The sequence below is a fragment of the Homo sapiens genome, chromosome 1 (genome assembly GCF_000001405.40).
Source record: "Homo sapiens chromosome 1, GRCh38.p14 Primary Assembly".
In the NCBI taxonomy this organism is placed as follows: domain Eukaryota; kingdom Metazoa; phylum Chordata; class Mammalia; order Primates; family Hominidae; genus Homo; species Homo sapiens.
The window spans coordinates 157,760,050-157,781,053 of record NC_000001.11 but is presented as its reverse complement, the minus strand read 5'-3'; the positions used below and the strand labels follow the sequence as shown (position 1 = coordinate 157,781,053).

At 41.7% G+C, this 21,004-nt stretch overlaps 1 protein-coding gene across 16 annotated transcripts in view, besides 1 other annotated feature; it reads left to right on the top strand.

Moving 5' to 3' along the window:
• Positions 3,922-21,004, top strand: part of FCRL2 (Fc receptor like 2) — a 31,400-nt gene continuing 14,317 nt past the window's right edge. For 6 of the 16 annotated variants that reach the window (NM_001159488.2, XM_011509976.3, XM_011509975.4 and 3 more), the window contains exons 1-7: positions 3,922-4,011; positions 5,259-5,279; positions 10,388-10,645; positions 10,904-11,188; positions 12,353-12,640; positions 13,545-13,823; positions 14,083-14,199. In NM_001159488.2, the coding sequence (NP_001152960.1) occupies positions 3,981-4,011; positions 5,259-5,279; positions 10,388-10,645; positions 10,904-11,188; positions 12,353-12,640; positions 13,545-13,823; positions 14,083-14,199 (1,279 nt within the window). In that variant the 5' untranslated portion in view covers positions 3,922-3,980. Of the gene's footprint in view, positions 4,012-5,258; positions 5,280-10,387; positions 10,646-10,903; positions 11,189-12,352; positions 12,784-13,544; positions 13,824-14,082; positions 14,200-21,004 lie in introns of those variants that run through there. The other 10 variants (XM_017002319.2, XM_047430273.1, XM_017002318.2 and 7 more) reach the window with 8 other exon arrangements.
• Positions 10,240-11,439: an enhancer, noted in NCBI's record as "BRD4-independent group 4 enhancer chr1:157739405-157740604 (GRCh37/hg19 assembly coordinates)". NCBI's record gives its function as "activates an origin of replication core promoter dependent on BRD2, P300/CBP, MED14 and CDK7 cofactors, and independent of BRD4, by STARR-seq in HCT116 cells {active_cell/tissue: HCT116}" and the evidence as "EXISTENCE:reporter gene assay evidence [ECO:0000049][PMID:35650434]".

The following is a 21,004-nucleotide window of genomic DNA, read 5'->3' as shown; positions in this document are numbered from 1 at the left end:
TGGGTTCCCCTCCACCTCCACTGTAGGAATAGTAATACCTTCTTTAGTAAGGATTTACCATAGTTTCCATTGCTACTAAAGGAACTGATAATCTTCATGACGAAGGAAAAAATCGAACTTTGTTAAACTCCAGTCCCCTAGAGATACACTATCTAAAACTTCAACTTACTCTTGGCCTTCTCTGATTCTCTGGGCTTTCACTATCTTCATTATCTTCCATGGAGGTAATGACCACTAGCTTCCAAGCATTTATACCCATTCTGAATTCTCTTTCATGCTATTTGCTCCATGCAGAGCCCTACTGGACTTCTAGATATAATAAATTTAATTGTAAAAAATCTTCTGGGCAGAAGGGCCTGGCTCTGTCTAAATTACATTGGAGAGTGTCTGCATAGACAACATTTGGTCTAGCCAGTTCTGTCCCAGAAGTTCTTCAACAAACAACATCACCTCCATAGAACTCGGAAAGTATCTAGTTACTATCTTGGACAGGAAGTTATTAGGGAAAGCCCCACTCAACAAAGACATATCATGCTGCTCAAGGTAATTATTGTAATTATTAAAACTGCTACTACCACTACTGCCATAACAATGATGATGACCATGACTATGACTACTTCTACTGCCATTTATGTAGCAATTATTATGACAAGTAATTTATATATATTATGACATTTAATTCTCTCATAGTGACCTTGGAACCCCAAGCTCAAAAGATTATATCTAGGGATCTTGGAAGTTAGCCTGTTTCATTTTCTTATTTTCCCACTCTAACTGTCCTAGTAATCAAATTCATCAAGCAGGAAGTGTGATTTGTTTTATTCTGACATATTTTATGAAGACTCTATTTGTCTCTGTCTCAGTTCTGGCATGCCCCAACTTGGCACTGTATTTTGTATTCCATTCAAGACATTGAACACGGTTCACAGAGATGACTCTTGCTCTGCATCTGGCAAAATAGGCTTCAGTATGTTACCACCTGTGGAATCTCCATGTTAAGGGTTTACCTGGTTGATCCAAGAGGCATTTATATGTATGTCTAATGCTGGTTCTTTCTGATACCTGTGACTCCATCCTGTTGGTGGCAAAATATCCTTGCACAAAAAGTATTATCTCTCACTTTGATCAAACCTACAAACATAATTTTATTTCTGCCACTATTGCCTTAATTTTTAAGTTACTTTCCCCACCCCCCACCAAGTGTCTATTAAGCCTCTTAATCTCTGGTCACAGTGCCTACTGTGCATTCAAGTTTAGCTACGCTTCCAGGATATGCCTATTCACTTGTAAATTACTGCCGTCTGTCAAATACAGAGTAGCACCCACATGAAACATGTTAGCCATCTTAGAGGATTTGTTGCCACCTCTGTGGCCCACACACCTCATTACTGCTGCTTTCCACCTGCACCTTTTATACCAACTGTGAATTTTACCTCATATCATTTGGTAACACCTTAAGAAATATTGATTCTTAACTGAAGAGGCCACATTTCCATAGAGGGTATATAGAAATCAGTGAAGGGATATGGATTATTTTGAAAAATCTCCTTGATGTCTATGAAAAACTTGTACCTACCATCAATTTACCATCAACTTTTTCATGATCCTATTTGTACTCCTTTCCTTAATTCCCTCCCATCCACAAAATTTCTATAGCTTCCAGGTTGGTCAGAATGGGAAGGAATTATAGGCCACCTAGAAACCCATTCAGTAGGCAAGATTTGATGATCAGTGACTAGCTTTGGTCCTGGGAAAGAGTAACTTACACTTTCAAACACATACAAACCGTTTGCCTATGCAGAAAGTTAAAGTAGTATTGTTTTCAACACTTTAAGATGAGAGAGGCCATAAAACCTAGTTTCTTATAATGAATCTTTAAAAAGTACGTAAATAGCATATGTTTATTGTAAGAATACTAGAATACACAGATAAGCAAAATAAGGAAAATAAAAATCAGCTTTAATTAGATTTTTTGGATATAATTACAGTAACTCTGTGGTGCGAATTGTCTCAGACACTTTTTATTGGAGAGCAGGGGATAATGTGCAGCAGATAAAGTGCACTCTGCAGCCACTTTTTTCTTTTCTTTTCTTTTCTTTTTTTTTTTTGAGACGGAGTCTTGCTCTGTCACCCAAGCTGGAGTGCAGTGGCACGATCTCGGCTCACTGCAAGCTCTGCCTCCCGGGTTTGTACCATTCTCCTGCCTCAGCCTCCCAAACAGCTGGGACTACAGGCACCTGCCACCACGCCCGGCTAATTTTTTGTATTTTTAGTTGAGATGGGGTTTCACCGTGTTAGCCAGGATGGTCTTGATCTCCTGACCTCGTGATCCGCCCGCCTCAGCCTCCCAAAGTGCTGAGATTACAGGCGTGAGCCACCGCACCCAGCCCACTTTTTTCTTAATCATATATCCTAGACATCTTATCTTGCTATTAAATATTATTCCACAGAATTATTTTAATGGCTGTTTGGTTTTCCACAGCATTTGACACATAACTTATTTTTAACACACATCTCTCCTTGTGATATATTTTTAGTATTTTCTTTTTACATTATTATAAGCAAGGCTTTAATGACCATCACATATAAATATTAGCCTTTCTCAAAGTAAAACTATGATAATAGTGAGAATAAAATGTTAAGTATCCAATTGTTAAAAATTCAATGTTAAGTATTCAGGTAAATGTTAAGTACCTGAACAGGTAACATTGAGTCTATGAATATTTTCAGTCAGTCCCTCATTTATAAGCACCTGTGATTTTTTGGTTTAGAGTTTCATCCTGCATAAGGTTCACTGATGAGACAACATCTACTGGGACTACATCTAATCAAAGTGAGCATGATAATAGGTGTTCACATAACACGCGCTTTGCTTTGTGTGAGATAACTGTATTAGGATCAGCCTGGGGTACAAAAAGCAATGCAGATTAGAAATAGGCAATGTTGTGATTACAGATTAGAAAGATGGCAATGTTTTCAGCAATATAGTGCAAGTGTTTTGAAGTTTAGTAAAATCTCATTCTAGAAAGTCATCGAATGACTACGAAAAATTTTACTTAAGAAATATGAGCTATTGAAACAATGGCCTTATTATTTTATGAACCTTGAGAAGCAATATATCAAGATAATAGGGCACAATGTTTAAGAGCCAGACTGTGACACTGGGCTGCCTGGGTTTGAATCCCAGATCTGTTACTACTAGAAATTGATTAAGCTGATCTTGGTCATTTTACTGGCTGCTATCATCTGAATGTTTGTGTCCTGGCAAAATTCTTATGTTGATACTTAATCCTCAATGCAATAGTAATAAAAGGTACCCACCTTTTATTACATGACCTTTTAGGGGTCATGAGTGTGGAACTCTTATGAAAAGGATTAGTCTCCTTGTAAAAGAGGCTTGAGGGAGCTTGTTTGCTCCTTCCATCATGTGAAGACACATAGAGGACACCATCTATGAGAAACAGGCCCTCATCAGACACTGAATCTACTGGTGCCTTGATCTTAAACTTCCCAGCCTCTTGAACTATGAGTGATAAATTTATGTTGTTTATAAATTTCTCAGTCTAAGGTATTCTTTATAGCAGCCCCAATGGACTAAGACACTTACCTTTACTAGTGCCTCAATTTCCTTATTCATGTGAAAGGGGATAGTGCCAATTCAGAAACTTGCTGAAGGTAATAAATAACTCTGTAAGCATGAGGCACTTAGAACTGTGTCTGACTCATTGCAACCCATATGTAAATGCTAGGTATCATAATGAGGGTCAAGTTACAAAATTTCTCTGGCATTGAGAGGATCAGCTATAATTGTTTTAGCCCTTCCAGGACAAAGATAATGGTTAAACATAGTGGCACTATTCTACTTCCTTTTTTGCTAATTATACAAAACCTATTCTGAAAACCACATTTCATCGCCTGCTCAGAGTCTCCAGTTGGTGACCAAGAGTACATCTCTTTTCAAATAGCTGGATTAGGTCCTCATGCTGCTGTGGTCATTGCTGGTCATCTTTGGTGAGTTCAATAATTTGACTGAGAAGTGAGGTGGCAGCTGAATGAGGTCTACTGCTCCCAAAAGGTTGGAGGTTTTATTGGAGCCCAGGGACTGGTGGGGATGCTCAGGTCCTGCCTGCAGCTTGGGCTTCAAAGGCAGATGCAAAGAAGTAGGCTGAGGACAGTGAATTTGCAGCACATCCATTAAGCATTAAGCACAATGCTTAATGTTCAAGGTGGACCACTTTTCCATTTGCTGGTCATGAATTGCTATTTTGATATCTTAGATCTCATTGAGTAATATAATGTTCTCATAGTAAAATGTTCATAATATTAGCATTTAGCAATGCCCTTCTCCTCCATGAACACCGATTATTCAATTGTTATCTATAAGATTTGGGTTCAGCAGATGCATTGAGACCCTTTGCTAATATTCCTCTGTTTAATCGTGGACAATGAGGGAGATGACAGCTGCTGCTAGAAAATAAGATTCCTGGGTGAGTGCAGTGGCTCATACCTGTAATCCTAGCACTTTGGGAGTCCAAGGCTGGTGGATCACTTGAGGTCAGAGTTCGAGACCACCCCGGCCAACATGGTGAAACCTCATCTCTACTAAAAATACAAAAATTAGCCAGGCGTGGTGGTGGGCACCTGTAATTCCAGCTACTCGGGAAGCTGAGGCAGGAGAATTGCTTGAACCCGGGAGGTGGAGGTTGTGGTGAGCCAAGATCGCACCATTGTACTCCAGCCTGGGTGAGAGAGTAAATAAGATCCCTTTCTCTATGCTGTGTAGGCACTAAATAAATATTTGTTATTGGAATACAAAGGGCTCTAACGTGAAATATGGCCATAGGAAAGAGACTGATTTGTTGATTTCTTGGAACTCTCACAATGTATGTTTCCTGATGAGCCCTTTGTGATCGTGTTGTCATGTCTATCTACCACTTGAAAAGTCAGAGTGTGAGATAGAGTGGTGGGGATGGTGGAAGGAAAATGAAATCAAGGAGAGTCACTAAATATCCAACATGGGTATTCTCGACAATCCCTTTAGTCAAGCATTGGGTTTGCAACTTGCCTTTTGACTACAATGAATGACAGTTAGATGTGTGCTCGAGGGAGATTGAATTGTTAGTAATAAGAGATTAGGGAAATAGAAAAGAAAGGGAAAATGGAAAGAAGTTTTTGAGCAATTTACCAGAGTAATATAAATTTATAAATTATGAGGGCAAATGCTGTGTGCTAATCTCTGGCTTTTGATCTCCTCACAGATGCAGTCACTGAACAGGCAGGTGAGTCCTCCTTGTCTTTGTTGTTCTTGGTCTCTGGCATATCAGTCACCCCACTACCCCAGGATTCTATAGAGGTGGCTCTGGAAAGCCTGTGAAGATGTCCTAATATTACTGCCCTCTAGGCTGACATGTTCTGAGGTCACGCAGCCTGTTTCCAACACCACTTGCATGTCTGGGTGACCAGGTACCACCTAGCCTTCTCAAGACCCCACATGCTTGCCTCTTCCTTAAAAGCCTGGCTTTAAGAAGGGCAATAACATGCAGATTGAAGAAAAGAACAATTTGGAGAGAATTGTTTTCCTGCCCATAGGACTGTAATGCCTCTTTATTGTCTGGCTGAATGCTGAATGTTTTTACAGCTCTGAAAACAGCTATTTATAGAGGAATGTGTCAGAACTACAAACTTCTGCAGGGTCAGAATAAACATGTGTCCTCATTGCTTCTCTAGCTCTAGCTCAGGAATCAGCAAGCTTTTCCTGTAAAAGGCAAGAGAGTAAATAGGCTAAGCTTTTCAGGTGTGTGCCGTAACTACTCAATGCCATTGCTGTGGTAGCAGGAAAACAACCATAGACCATATGTAAACGAATGAGGATGGCTGTGTTCCAATAACATTTTATTTACCAAAACAGTGTTGGCCAGCTCACAGGCCATAATTTGCCAACCCGTGCTCTAGATTTAGTATTTAGTTTTGATTTTTTAAAAATGCATGTATTACTGTTCTAATCATAAAGAGTGAAATAAAGCTAATTTTATTTCACTCTTTCTGAGTTAAATCTGTGCTCAGTGAAGGAAGTCAATGGGAAAAATATTTTATTCTATATACAGAATCTTCACATGAGCCAAGACAAAATCTAAAGAAAGGGAGACTTGTTCCCTTGCCCATTGAATGCTGGCTACCAAGTGGAAGGGGCTCTTTGGGCTCTAAGGAACAGTGTGGGAAAAGCAGATCCTGCTGTCACCTTGAATGGAACAAGAGTGTCCAGGGAGACATTCAGGGGTCCTACCTGGAACTTGCTCAGGAGCAAGTCTGGTCTCTTGCATTCATTCTGTCCCACATAAGGTCCAGGAGTCCCACCCTGTGATACCCATCACTCCACTGTCTGTCTGGATGGAAATTAGAGGAAACCTCGATCAATATTCAGGAGGTTTCTGACCATTAGTGGAATCATGCCAAGACAGCAGGCTCCCTGAAGTGAATCACCTACGACCATTCAGAGAACAGGGCAACAGCCACTTCATTCTCTTTCTTTTCCTTTAGCAAGAGTTTCTCAGAAAACTGAGATGTTCTTCAGAAGTTTGAGATCTTTTCTTTTTAAAAAGAGTAAGAGAGAACTTAGTTCAGCATGATGTACTGGAAAGAGCAGGACTTATATAGCCAGAAAGACCAAATTGAAATCATGGCTTTGCTATATACCTGCTATGTAGGCTGGGCAGTCACTTGGCCTCTGAACCCCAGTCTTGGCTCTGGGGAAAAGTTTCTGGCCTGTTGAGAATTACAATCCCCTGCAAGGTTTGAAAATGCTATTCAGCAGAGCAGCTGAAAAGGTCTTTCTGTCCCCATCCATTGCCTCAATGCAGTCTTCCACCCCATTTCCTCTTTTCAGCCCCACCCATACACTGCACTCACCACCTGGGACTTTGCCCTTGCAAAGCTTTGAATACCATTTGCTTTTAGTTTTTGCTGTTGCTCTGGTAAAGATATTTTTCACTGAAATTCTTGTGAAAAAACATTATTCAGTCCTGTACATCTTGCTCTGAGTTAAATCTTTGTGCTCCTATTTATTTGCTCTGCCTAAGAACTTCTCGTTCACAACCTACCCTTCTCCCTGCCCCCTACCACTGTCCCTCCACTGCAGTTCTCCTCTATACCCTCTGGGGGTCAGCATGATTCTATTGGGCACCTCTGCAGGTAGAGCCACTCTCAGCCAGTTTCTGGAGGATGTGGAACTCCCTGAGGATGAACAAGTCAGCTTTGGGACTTGTTGCCCTCCCCTTCTAGGGCCTCTGACTCCTTGTACCCTGCTAATGGTGCATACAGATTAGAACTCTTGAGGTTGCACCACAATGACAGCCAGTGTAGAGCCAGCACACTTCTGCTGAGGCCTTCAAACTGCCAGGTGGTTGGCATTGGAGCCATCACAGCCATGCTAGAAGCAAGTGGATACAAACTGTCACACAAACCCATTATGACTCTTTGGGGTTCCCTGATATGAAACTATGAACCAACTTATGTCTACCCTATAGGTAGGACATCACTCTCAGAGGGTTTGACTTCAAGTCACCTTCATTTATTCAGTATTCCCGAGTCCACCCCATCTCACAGACCTGAAACCCATTATTTTGGTTGCTCTTGAAGTGCAGTTATGATGACCTCTTATTCCTCCTCAGCCATCATTAGCTTCTGCTACAAAGACATCCCCCATCAAGACTGTGAGATTTGTGGCTCACTGAGTGGTCCATAAATGCCAGCACCATTGTGTGCTTCTCTCACAGAATCCTTAAGACTGCCTGATGAGAGGCAAATGCTCTTTGTTGTTCCATTTCTCAGTTGAGAAACTGTAACTGAACACAGGTCCAGCTGCTCACTGCTTGCAAAGTCCAATTAACAAGAGAGAGATCTGGTAGAAAGAAAGTGACTTTTTAATTCCAAAACATAGCTGAGGGGAAGTAGTACAGGCTTCTGCCTTGAGGGTACCACTTCTACTTCTCGGGCAGAAGGCAAGGGCTTTTAAAGGGGGACTTGGTGTGAACAGCATGCAGGGGAGGGAGCGAGGTGGTGCAAGTCTACATGACTTGCTTTGGATGTCATCTGAAGTGATTTGGCTTGGCACCAGTGTGGGCAGAACTAGGTTGTAAATTGAGGCACTCTTCTGGTGAGAGAGAGTTCTAGAGGCACCTGGTTTGCTTTGAGTTTCTGTCTCTGGAACCTCTTAAGTAAACACATAGCTAGATATGCTTTCAGTGCAAGGAGTGGATGATGGAGAGAAGGTAAAAATTATAAGTGCATGAAAAAGGTAAAAATACTTCCTCTTTTTTTCTTAGAAAAATGGGATACTTGGTTACAAAACCAAAGTCCAAAGAGTAAAGTGCTTTGTCCAGTATCACACAGCTAATAATAGTAGACTTGGATTCAAAACAGTGTGATCTGGCTCTTCACAACTAGGTTAAACGTTGTGAGAACTGAAATCAATCAGTATCTCCTGGTGGTGACGATGACTCTCTCTGGCCGCAAGTTCACTTCCAGGCCTCCGAGCTTTAGCATCTCTCCCCAGTGGATTCCTCTCAGAGCTGCAAGCCGGCTCACCCTGCTGCTCCCACTTGCTGGTCTGCTGTTATGGACTCAAGATCATCCACTCCTCACTGCTCTCCATCCTTTGGCTTGCTCTTGGGGCAGTCTGCCTCTTACCATGCAGTGTGAGGATATGAATAATTCCTAACGACCAACTCAAAGTCTCACTTTGTCAGTGGCAGCCAGAGCCAGTGAGGCTGCCTGTCATGCCCTTTGCAACAGTGTCTCTAATCATGACTCGTCTTCCTATCCCCAGTGGTGTTCTCTACAGGAATCTTTCCTGTTTGTGGAGGAAGACTGTATCAGTGGTTTAAAAGTTGGCTTGATTCCGAGTCCCACGGTGGCGTTTCCATGAGATCTAGTATCCATTTGCAAAGGAGGCCACAAATCTTGAATTAAGTTAATTGTTTCTCCAACCAACCTTTTCTGCCCTGCTAAATATATATATATATATATAATCAGATTGTTCCCCAATGTCTAACAAGTAATTCTGGTTCTGCTGAAATAGCCAGTAGCGAACCATACATTTTGCCAAAAATTATACCTCCAAATGCCACAGATTTCCTGTGGCTTTTTGGCTGTAGCTCTGCAGTAGTATTTTATGAGTCACCACATCTCTTATTTTATTGACTTCTGCTTCCTTCTACTACACATCTGACAGTCATGATACAATTGAATAGTGACAGGAAAGATTTTTATTTGAGATATAACTTAATTCCTTACTTTGTGGTCAGAATCCTCTACTATAATCATAAAATATGAAGATGTCATAGACACAAAACATAGTCTGGTACCGTAAATAAATGAAGTGACGGGGTCAAAATTAGAGAACCTGTGACCAATCTAAGGAAAACAACCTCTGGGGAGGACATTTGTCTTTGGCAATAGCTTTTTTCTTTATATGATCAGTCTCTAGGAACTAAGCCTTGGATTAAAAATAATCTCTACTTCACTGAATGGATGAGAAAAATTTTCTGAAGGCATTCAAGTGGAGAATTCAAGTAGATAATTAAAGATACTGGATCTTATTCCAGTAACAGGCATATTCCCAATAATCTACGCCACTTGATGGTTTTATCTGGTGAGGTAAGAAGAGGGGATGGGACCTGAATTTATAACACAGTATAGAGCTCTGAGGGCTGGATGACAGCATGGAGGATGAAAAAATAAAGTGCCCGCTAAGGACAATGGTTTCCCTGTGTGGTGTCACCGATGGAGAAGGCTGAAGATGAGGTGTTTATCAGAACACTCCTTCATGAACATTAAAAAACCATGTTTACCTTGACACCCCTGCAATAGACTGAATGTTTGTATCTCCCTCAAATTCATATGTTGAAACCCTAATCCCAGTGTGATGGTATTTGTAGGTGGGGCCTTTGGGAGGTAATAAGGTCATGACGGTGGAACCCTCATGAATAGGACTAATGCTTTTATAAGAAGAGGCCAGAGAGTTAGCTGATTAGTTTTCCATCATGTGACGGTAGAGCGAAAAGTTGGCAGTCTGCAGCCCAGAAGATGGCCGTCATCACAACCTGACAATGCTGGCACCCTGACCTCAGACTTTCAACGTCCAGAATTGTGAGAAATAAATCTCTGTTATTGATAAGCCACTCAGTTTATGGAATTTTGTGATAGCAGCACAAGCTAAGATATCCCCTCAGGAAACATGGGATGAAACTCTCAGTAATTAAGGCATGGATTGGAACTTCCATCTTGTTTAAAGAAGTAGAGGCTATGCCTGAGACCACCTCACTGCCAATGGAGTCTGTCTGGGTTCTCTGCAGAAATGGCAAATCCGGTTTCCCTCCTTCTCTTCCAGATTCGCTGACCCTTGTGGCGCCCTCTTCTGTCTTCGAAGGAGACAGCATCGTTCTGAAATGCCAGGGAGAACAGAACTGGAAAATTCAGAAGATGGCTTACCATAAGGATAACAAAGAGTTATCTGTTTTCAAAAAATTCTCAGATTTCCTTATCCAAAGTGCAGTTTTAAGTGACAGTGGTAACTATTTCTGTAGTACCAAAGGACAACTCTTTCTCTGGGATAAAACTTCAAATATAGTAAAGATAAAAGTCCAAGGTAAAACCCTGACTTCTGTGGGATGGGCTGGGTGAGAGACCACGGCAGCAAGGCAGGGTGGGTACTGGGTAGGGGAAAGCTGCTCATGGGCTAAATATAGACGGGAGTGCTTGTGGTTTGATCATCAAAGGAGCCATGATGGGTGAGAGGTGTCTAGCTCTGAATGTCCTGTTTGCTGGGGTTGCTTCTTGCCAGAGGCTTTTCAGCAGGAATCTTAGCTGTCACTGCTTTGGGGACTATTGTGATCCTTCTCTCTAGAGCTCTTTCAACGTCCTGTGCTGACTGCCAGCTCCTTCCAGCCCATCGAAGGGGGTCCAGTGAGCCTGAAATGTGAGACCCGGCTCTCTCCACAGAGGTTGGATGTTCAACTCCAGTTCTGCTTCTTCAGAGAAAACCAGGTCCTGGGGTCAGGCTGGAGCAGCTCTCCGGAGCTCCAGATTTCTGCCGTGTGGAGTGAAGACACAGGGTCTTACTGGTGCAAGGCAGAAACGGTGACTCACAGGATCAGAAAACAGAGCCTCCAATCCCAGATTCACGTGCAGAGCAAGTATCAGTGAGGCTGAGCCTGGAGAAAAAAAGATAGGAGTGTTATAGCTTCAGCTTGGACTACTAGTCTGTTTCTTTGTTCAACTCCTGTCCTTGAGGAAAGTGAAAATTAAGCTAGAAAAACCCTCCAGGTTGCGGCCGGGCGCGGTGGCTCACGCCTGTAATCCCAGCACTTTGGGAGGCTGAGACGGGCAGATCATGAGGTCAGGAGATAGAGACCATCCTGGCTAACACGGTGAAACCCCGTCTCTACTAAAAATACAAAAAATTAGCTGGGCTTGGTGGGGGGCGCCTGTAGTCCCAGCTACTAGGGAGGCTGAGGCAGGAGAAAGGCGTGAACCTGGGAGGTGGAGCTTGCAGTGAGCCGAGATCACGCCACTGCACTCCAGCCTGGGCGACAGGGCGAGACTCCGTCTCAAAAAAACAACAAAACATAACAAAAACCCCTCCAGATTGCTCCTGGCTTCCTACTTCATAAGAATCAGAAATGCACTAAGCCCCTTATAATCTTTCTTTTTTTGTTGTTAGTTAAGTAATATTCATTGATCAAGACTCCATTGATCACTGACTGTATGCCTTGGCATTTAGTAGTGGGTGGGACACTTCAAAAGGCAAACCACCTGCTGTCTAATGGCTCTCCAAATGTCTCCACATGATGAGATTGCAACACAAATTGACTTATTAGAAGGCAATGTAGCATCAGGAAAAGTAGATGTGAATGAACAGAGTGGTCAGAGGAGAAGTTGTATTTGGTTGAACCTTGAAATTAAAAATGATAGAGGAATTATTATTGGGACCGTTGTTAGGAATAATGACTTTTCCACTGCAAGACTGAAGATATCAGTGCCCCTCTATATTCTGTGCAAAAGGTGTCTTTGACTCATCCAAAAAATTGAACAGTTTCCTGTCTCATGGAGATCTATCACAAAGTCTTTAAATATTACTACCCATGAAATTGGCCAGGGTTAGGACATTCAAATGTCTTTATCCACATTCCTGAAGGATAATTGTTATAGATTCCCTACCTCCATAGGAATGCTTATAATGGATTATCTATACAATCTCCACATTCCCACATTTTGCATTAGAGAATGGAATCAGTCAAACCCTGTTCCCAGAGTTTCCCTTAGAGTTCTCACCTGTTGTCTTATATCCATCTAGGAATCCCCATCTCTAATGTAAGCTTGGAGATCCGGGCCCCCGGGGGACAGGTGACTGAAGGACAAAAACTGATCCTGCTCTGCTCAGTGGCTGGGGGTACAGGAAATGTCACATTCTCCTGGTACAGAGAGGCCACAGGAACCAGTATGGGAAAGAAAACCCAGCGTTCCCTGTCAGCAGAGCTGGAGATCCCAGCTGTGAAAGAGAGTGATGCCGGCAAATATTACTGTAGAGCTGACAACGGCCATGTGCCTATCCAGAGCAAGGTGGTGAATATCCCTGTGAGAAGTGAGTGACACTCTCATTCATATCTTCCAGAAATTCCCAGACCAAGGTCATGATACACATGTGTCCTGAGGAAATTTCAGGAGGCCCCAGGGATTAGTGCTGTGGAGAACCAAAAGCAATTTGAAAATGGGTTACGCTTGCAGGTTAGACTGCTGACCTGTTTCTTTTTGTGGAAGGAAATATAAAGAGGGCTGTAATCGATTATGAAGCATAAGCATTCTTGCAATCCTACGATAGGATGATAAAACATCTATTACATGAAACCTTTGGGCTCTGGGCCAGGGAGTGTCATGGATCTAAAAGGTTCATAGTGGTAACAGCCTGCTTCATTTTATGTCATCTCCTTCAAAGTGATTAGAGTGTTTCTAGCTTGCCGAAACTGCACCCAAAGGGAGACATTTGGAGCCATGTTATTGGTGATTTACTGGTGTGGAAAATTACCTGGTGTTGTAGCCAAGTAGCCATTTCCATTCTAACCCAGTCCTATAGTCCTGAACTGGGCTGAATAAACATACCTAAATATATGTTTAGAAATGCTCCTATGTATCAGTTTTCCCAGGAACAACTATAATATTATAGAAATCTTAAAATTATTTCCTAATAAAAAATTATAGGATACAAAAGAAAAAAAAGAAATATGAAGAGGGCTGGATGGGCACAGGAAAACAATCAGATGAGAACAACAGATGACCGTGTCTGCAGGCAGCACCCAGAACTGATATTCCCCTCAAACGTCTAAATATATTGTTGAGAAAATTATCTCTAACTGTTCTAGTGGGAATGTGGGAATGGAAAATATGCAACAGCCATGGGGCCAGGCCCTTTGCTGAGCCTGCAGGTTGGGAGTTTGTGAATCTATTGAGGCATCACAAATCTTTTCTGATAGCCCCTCTGTGTCTGTCAGTTCCAGTGTCTCGCCCTGTCCTCACCCTCAGGTCTCCTGGGGCCCAGGCTGCAGTGGGGGACCTGCTGGAGCTTCACTGTGAGGCCCTGAGAGGCTCTCCCCCAATCTTGTACCAATTTTATCATGAGGATGTCACCCTTGGGAACAGCTCGGCCCCCTCTGGAGGAGGGGCCTCCTTCAACCTCTCTTTGACTGCAGAACATTCTGGAAACTACTCCTGTGAGGCCAACAACGGCCTGGGGGCCCAGTGCAGTGAGGCAGTGCCAGTCTCCATCTCAGGTGGGTGGGTGTTACCTGGATACAGAGTTTGATGTCAATGGCTGTGTCTCACCAGCCTGGAGATGTCTGCTGTGTGTGAAGAGGGGGAAGGTGATCTCAGTGTCCAGTGGCTTCTCTTCTCCCCACACTAACCTGAAGAGTACAGACTACACTTCAATGATCTCTTACTTGAATTTGTATTTAACATCCCTATATAGCATTTATAAGAAGGGCCCAAGTCTTAAACCTCTGGGGCTGAAGCACTGCTTTCTTTCCTCAGGACCTGATGGCTATAGAAGAGACCTCATGACAGCTGGAGTTCTCTGGGGACTGTTTGGTGTCCTTGGTTTCACTGGTGTTGCTTTGCTGTTGTATGCCTTGTTCCACAAGATATCAGGTTGTATCTACCATTTGGATTCTCCATATTTTGCTATGACCTTTCCACTACTGATATAGATTGAAATTACAAAAAAAGAAGAGAGAAAAGAAAACTCTCCAAAAGCCAATAATTTCTTTTTATGCTTCATAATTCTGCAAGGCTCTGTGCAATGCTCAATGTGGTCATACTGCTAATTATACAATATGTCACTGTTCCCTGTGCATAGTCACTGGAGATTAAATTATTTACACATTCTTTCCATGCTTGACTTTTAAAATGAAAAGTCTAATTCTTAATTGCCATTTAGTAATTTTCAATAGATATAATTAGCTTATGTACAACGGAGCAAAATGTAGTAAGGAGCTAGATTTAAAGGAACACAAAAAAAATTTTTTTTTTTTTGAGACAGAGTCTCACTCTGTTGCCCAGGCTGGAGTGCAGTGGCGTGATCTCAGCTCACTGCAAGCTCCGCCTCCTGGGTTCACACCATTCTCCTGCCTCAACCTCCCGAGTAGCTGGGACTACAGGCGCCCGCCACCACACCCGGCTAATTTTTTGTATTTTTAGTAGAGACAGGGTTTCACCATGTTAGCCAGGATGGTCTCAATCTCCTGACCTCTTGATCCGCCCATCTTGGCCTCCCAAAGTGCTGGGATTATAGGCGTGAGCCACAGCGCCTGGCCAGGAACACAAACAATTTAATGTGCTCTTTTTTCTTTTTATTTATCCATTTCTTTTTAGCCACCTTTTTTATAAAAAGAGCGATGACTCCTTGAATTCCTGGATCCATGATATAGATCATAAGAAGCCATCTTCACCCACATGTCTGGCCATTGATGCTGGCCATAGTTTGCAGTTTCAGCTGAGAGTCAACTAGAGCACATATACGCAGCCTCTCAACATGGCCTGGATTTCCTCACAGCATGATGACCTTAAAGTAGTCAGACTTTTAACATGTTGATTCAGGCTCCAAAAAGCAAGTGTGATAATGAAGCTGCAATACATTTAATCAATGAATTTCAAAAAGTATGATGTTTTGTCACTTCTACAACAATTTTATTATGTCCTGGTGCTTCAAACTTGCCTAGGTATCAGTGAAGAGGGCACAGACTTCACCTCTAAATGGGAGAACTGTCAAAGAATTTTAAGCCATATTTTTTAAATTTCCACATATAACACCAAGAGTTTGAATCTGCTATGTCTCCAAACCCCACAACACTGTCAAAAGCACAAGCTTCTTGGCTGTCCTCTCCGGAATCAGCAAATGCTCCATGGAACAAGTGATTTCAGAAGTTAGGTTTTTCTCCCTGAGCCCCTTCTCGTCTTTTGTTGAAGATCTTTGTGTCTGTGTTCATCAGGGATATTGGCCAGTAGTTTTCTTTTTTGGTTGTATTCATGTCTGATTTTGGTATCAGGGTAATTCTATCCTTGTAGAATGGGTTAGAGAGAATTGCCTTCTCTTCAATTTTTTTGGAATGGTTTGAGGAGGATTGGTATTAATTCTTTATACATTTGGTAGAATTTGACAGTAAATCCATCCAGTCCTCGGCTTTTCTTTGTTAGAAAGCTGATTATTAATGGTTCAATCTTGCCACTCATTATTGGTTTATTCAGGTTTTCTATTTCTGCCTGATTCAATCTTGGTAAATTGTATGTTTCCAGGAATTTATCCATCTCCTGTAGACTTTCCTGTTCATTTGTAATAATCTCTGATGATCTTTTTTATTTGATATCAGTTGCAATGTCTGCTTTTTCGTTTCTGATTATGTTTATTTGAGTCTTCTTTTCTTGGCTAGTCTAGCTAGCAGTTTATCAATTTTGTTGATCTTTTCAAAGGACCAGCTTTTGTTTTATTGATCCTTTGTATTTTTTTTAGTCTCTATTTAATTTAGTTGTGCTCTGACTGTTATCATTTCTTTCCTTTTGCTAATTTTTAATTTAGTTTGTTCTTGGTTTTCTAGTTCCTTGAGGTGCTTCATTAGATTGCTAATTTGAATTCTTTCCACGTTTTTGTTGTAGGTGTTTATTGCTATAAACTTTCCTCTTAGCACTACTTTGCTGTATCCCACAGGTTTTAGTATGTTACGTTTCAATTTTCATTTGTTTCAAATATGTTTGATTTCCATCTTAATTTCTTCATTGACCCAATGGTTGTTTAGCAGCATGTTGTTTAATTTCCACTTATTTGTACGGTTTTCAAAATTTATCTTGGTATTGATTTCTAGCTTCATTTCCTTGTGGTCTGAGAAGATACTTGATATGATTTTGATTTTAATAATTTGTTGAGACTTGTTTTGTGGCCTAACATGTGGTCTATTCTGGAGAATGTTCCATGTACAAGTGAGAAAAATGCGTATTCTGTAGTTGTTGAACAAAATGTTCTGTAAATGCCTGTTAAGGCTATTTGGTTTAAAGTACAGTTTAATTTCAATGTTTCTTTGTTGATTTACTATTCAGATGATCTGTCTAATGCTAAGAGTGAAGTGTTGAATTACCCCACTATTATTGTATCAAAGTCTAGCTCTATTTTTTCTTTAAGCAATATTTACTTTATGATTTTGGGTGCTCAAGTGTTGAGTACATATATATCCTCTATATTCTCTTGCTGGATTGATCCCTTTATTTTTGTGTTTTTTTTTCACCATTATTTATTTATTTATTTATTATTTTGAGGCAGAGTCTTGCTCTGTCGCCAGGCTGGAGTGCGGTGGCGCAATCTCTGCTCACTGCAACCTCCACCTCCTGGGTTCAAGTGATTCTCCTGCCTCAGCCTCCCAAGTAGCTGGGACTACAGGCGTGTGCCACCACACCCGGCTATTTTTTGCTTTTTTTTTTTTTTTTTTGAGATGAAGTCTCGCACTATCACCCAGGCTGGAGTGCAGTGGCACGATATCGGCTCACTGCGAGTTCAGCCTCCCGAGTTCACTCCATCCTCCTGCCTCAGCCTCCCGAGTAGCTGGGATTATAGGTGCCTGCTACCCTGCCTGGCTAATTTTTTGTATTTTCAGTAGAGACGGGGTTTCACCATGTTGGCCAGGATGTTCTCTGTCTCTTGACTTCCTGATCTGCCCGCCTTGGCCTCCCAAAGTGCTGGGATTACAGGCATGAGCCACCGTGCCCAGCCTGCTGTTTTTGACTCAGTCTGTTTTATCTGATATGAGTATAGCTACTGCTCATTTTTGGTTTCTGTTTGTGTGAACTATTTTTTTCCATCCTTTTACTTTCAGTCTATATATGTCTTTACAGGTAAAGTACGTTTCTTACAGGTAACACAGAGTTGGGCAACATTTTTAATACCCATTCAGCGAGTCTATAAATATATCTTTTCTTTGTTTGTTTGTTTTTTGAGATGGAGTTTTCACTCTTGTCACCCAGGCTGGAGCACAATGGTGTGTTCTTGGCTCCCTGCAAATTCCACCTCTCGGGTTCAAGAGATTCTCTTGCCTCAGCCTCCTGAGTAGCTGGGATTACAGGCACCCGCCACCATGCCTGGCTAATTTATTTGTATTTTTAGTAGAGATGGGGTTTCACCATGTTGGCCAGGCTAGTCTCAAACTCGTGACCTCAAATGACCCTCCTGCCCCGGCCTCCCAAAGTGCTGGGATTACAGGCATGAGCCACGGCACCCCATCTATATATTTTAAGTAAAGAATTTAATCAATTTACATTCAAGGTTATTACTGATATGTGAAGTTTTCTTCCTGTCATATTGTTAATTGTTGTCTAGTTGTTTTGTGTATTCCTTGTTGTTTTTTCTCTTAGTGTGTATTTTCTACGTCTAACAATCTTGGGGAATTTAAGTGGTTTGCAATGCTTACTCGGCCAGTACCTGACGACCAAGCCTCAAACCTAACTTTATTGCACCTCCTGGCTTTACCTATGCATTTTCATGATGGTAAGTATTGTCCTTTCGCTTTCAGGCTTAGGACTCCCTTGAGCATTTCTTACAGGGCTGGGCTAGTGGTGATGAACTGTATCAGCTTTTGCTTATCTGGAAAAGATTTTATTTCTCCTTATTTATGAAGGATATTTTGCTGGATTTAGTTTCCTTCACTGGCACTTTATTTATTTTAGCACTTTGAATATTTTATACCATTCTCTCTTGGCCTGGAAGGTTGGAGTGTATCTTTTGTTTTGTTTTGTTTTGTTTTTCTTTATAGGTGACTAGAGGCTTTTCCCTTGCCATTTAAAAAATTCTGTCTTTGTATTTGACTTTAGACTGTTTTATTATAATGTGCCATGGAAAAGACCTTTTTGCATTGTATGTGCTTGGGGATCTCAGAGGTTTTGTATCTGGATGTCCAAATCTCTTGCTAGACTTTGGAAGTTTTCATCTATTATTTTATTAAATAGGTTTTCTAACCTTTTCATTCTGTCTTTGCCATCTGGGACCCCAATAATTCGAATACTTTTCCAAAAGTATTCAAAAATGTGCCAATTCTTGGTCCTCCAAGTGACTTAATCACATACCCGAAGTGGCTATGCTGGGCCAGGCAGGTGAAAGGATTCTCAGGCCCCTGGGCAGCCAGCATGGTTTGGGCAATGGCAGTGGCAGTGGCAGGTCCACCCTCTGAGTCCCAAACAATGGATACTGGTGTTGGTAGTGGCTGTGATAGGCTGGGCAGGTCAGACTCCAGACCTGCAGATGGTGCATGCGGGTAGGTATCAGTTGTGGTGATAGTGGCAGAATTGGTAAGCCCAACCTCAGGTCCCCTGGAGGAGTGTTAGGTGCCGTCGTGGTGGACTGGGCTGGGCAATTCCCTGGTCTCCAGGCTGTGTGCTCTGGCATGGTCAGGGGAAGGGCAAAACCATGCTGGGTGGGCTTATCCTCATGCTCCCTGATCCTCTCTGCTCTCTTTTCTCAGCAATTCTTCACTATCTTCTTACCACTTCAATGTTTATAAACAGACTTTAAAACTCTTTTGCCCAGCCTTTCTAGTTGTCCTTAGTAGAAGATTGGTTCAAATGCATTCATTAACCATTACTGGAAGTTTGAAGACATCTACCTTTTACAACCAACATATTCCTTAAGCTGCCGTGTCTTTTGGCATTTTCAGCATGACTATATGTTTTTGTAATGTATTATTTCTAATTTGTCAAGAATTTAGACAAATCAGAGTGATTTGTCATACTGAGCCCTATTAATATTTCACAAGTCAAAAAAAATTACCAGTGACCCAATTATTGTGTCATCCACATATGGCAGGTTTACATATATTATCTGTAATTATCAAAAGTTATTTTTAAAAGTGTGCCTTTTGGGGGAGACAAGGTCTTGCTCTGTTGCCGAGGCTGGAGTGCAGTGACACGATCTTGGCTCACTGCAGTCTTGATCTGCCAGGCTCAAACCACCCTCTCACCTCAGTCTCCTGAGTAGCTGAAACTACAGGCCCATGTCACCATACCCAGCTAATTTTTTTGTAAAGATGGGGTTTTACAATGTTACCCAGGCTGGTCTCGAACTCCTGAGCTCAAGCGATCTGCCTGACTCAGCCTCCCAAAGTGATGAGATTACAGGCGTGAGCCACCACTCCCAGCCTAAGTGTCTGTTTTCTATGTCTAACAACCTTGGGGAATTTAAGTGGGTTTTTTTGTGCTCACTCAGCCAGTAAAGGGCAGACCAGAACCTGTATCTGCCTGACTACTATGCCTCAAACCTAACTTTGTTGCACCACCTGGCTTTACCTATTCTCCTCCCATAAGTTTCACCTATGTCAGTAAGGTGTTATTTATTTTAACCTATCAGATACAGGACAAACATGGGGCACATCAGAATCTCAATGATAGCTTTGAAGCTTTTGTAAAACGCTTTCTTACACTTATCTACTGCAACAGGTGAAATAAATTTTGGAACTCATTAATTTTCTTCCACATAGTAAACATTTAAGCTAGTATTTTATTTTATTTTTTACTTCCAACGTTTATTTTAGGTTCAAGAGGTACATGTGCAGGTTTGTTACATAGGTAAATTGGTTGTCTTGCAGGTTTGGTGTACAGATAATTTTGTCACCCAGGTAATCAGCATGATACCAAATAGGCAGCCCTTCCTTCCTTCCTTCCCTCCTTCCTTCCTTCCTTCCCTCCTTCCTTCCTTCCTTTCTTTTTTCATTCTTTCTTCTTTCTTTCTTTCTTTCTTTCTTTCTTTCTTTCTTTCTTTCTTTCTTTCTTTCTTTCCTTCTTTCTTTCTTTCTTTCCTTCCTTCCTTCCTTCCTTCCTTCTTTCTTTCTTTCTTTTCTTTCTTTCTTTTTGACAAAGTCTCACTCTGTCTCCCAGGTTGGAGTGCAATGAACAATCTTGGCTCACTGCAACTTCCACCTCCCGGGTTCAAGCGATTTTCTCGCCTCAGCCTCCTGGGTAGCTGAGATTACAGGTGCCTGCCATGACGCCCAGCTAATTTTTGTATTTTTTTTTTAGAAGAGATAGCATTTCACCATGTTGACCAGGCTAGTCTTGAACTCCTAGCCTCAAGTAATCCACCCGCCTCGGCCTCGCAAAGTGCTGGCATTACAGGAGTGAGTGAGCCACCACGCCTGGCCCCAATAGGTAGCTTTTCAATCCTCACTCTCTTCCCTCCCTCCACCCTCAAATAGGTCCCAGCATCTGTTGTACTCTTCTTTGTGTTCATATGCACTCAACGTTTAGCTCTCACATATCAGTGAGAACATGTGATATTTGGTTTTCTGTTCCTGTGTTAATTCACTTAGGATAATGGTCTCCAGCTCCATCCATGTTGCTGCAAAGAACATAATCTCATTTTTTATAGCTGCATAGTATTCCATAGTGTATATGTAACACATTTTCTTTATCTGGTATACTGTTGATG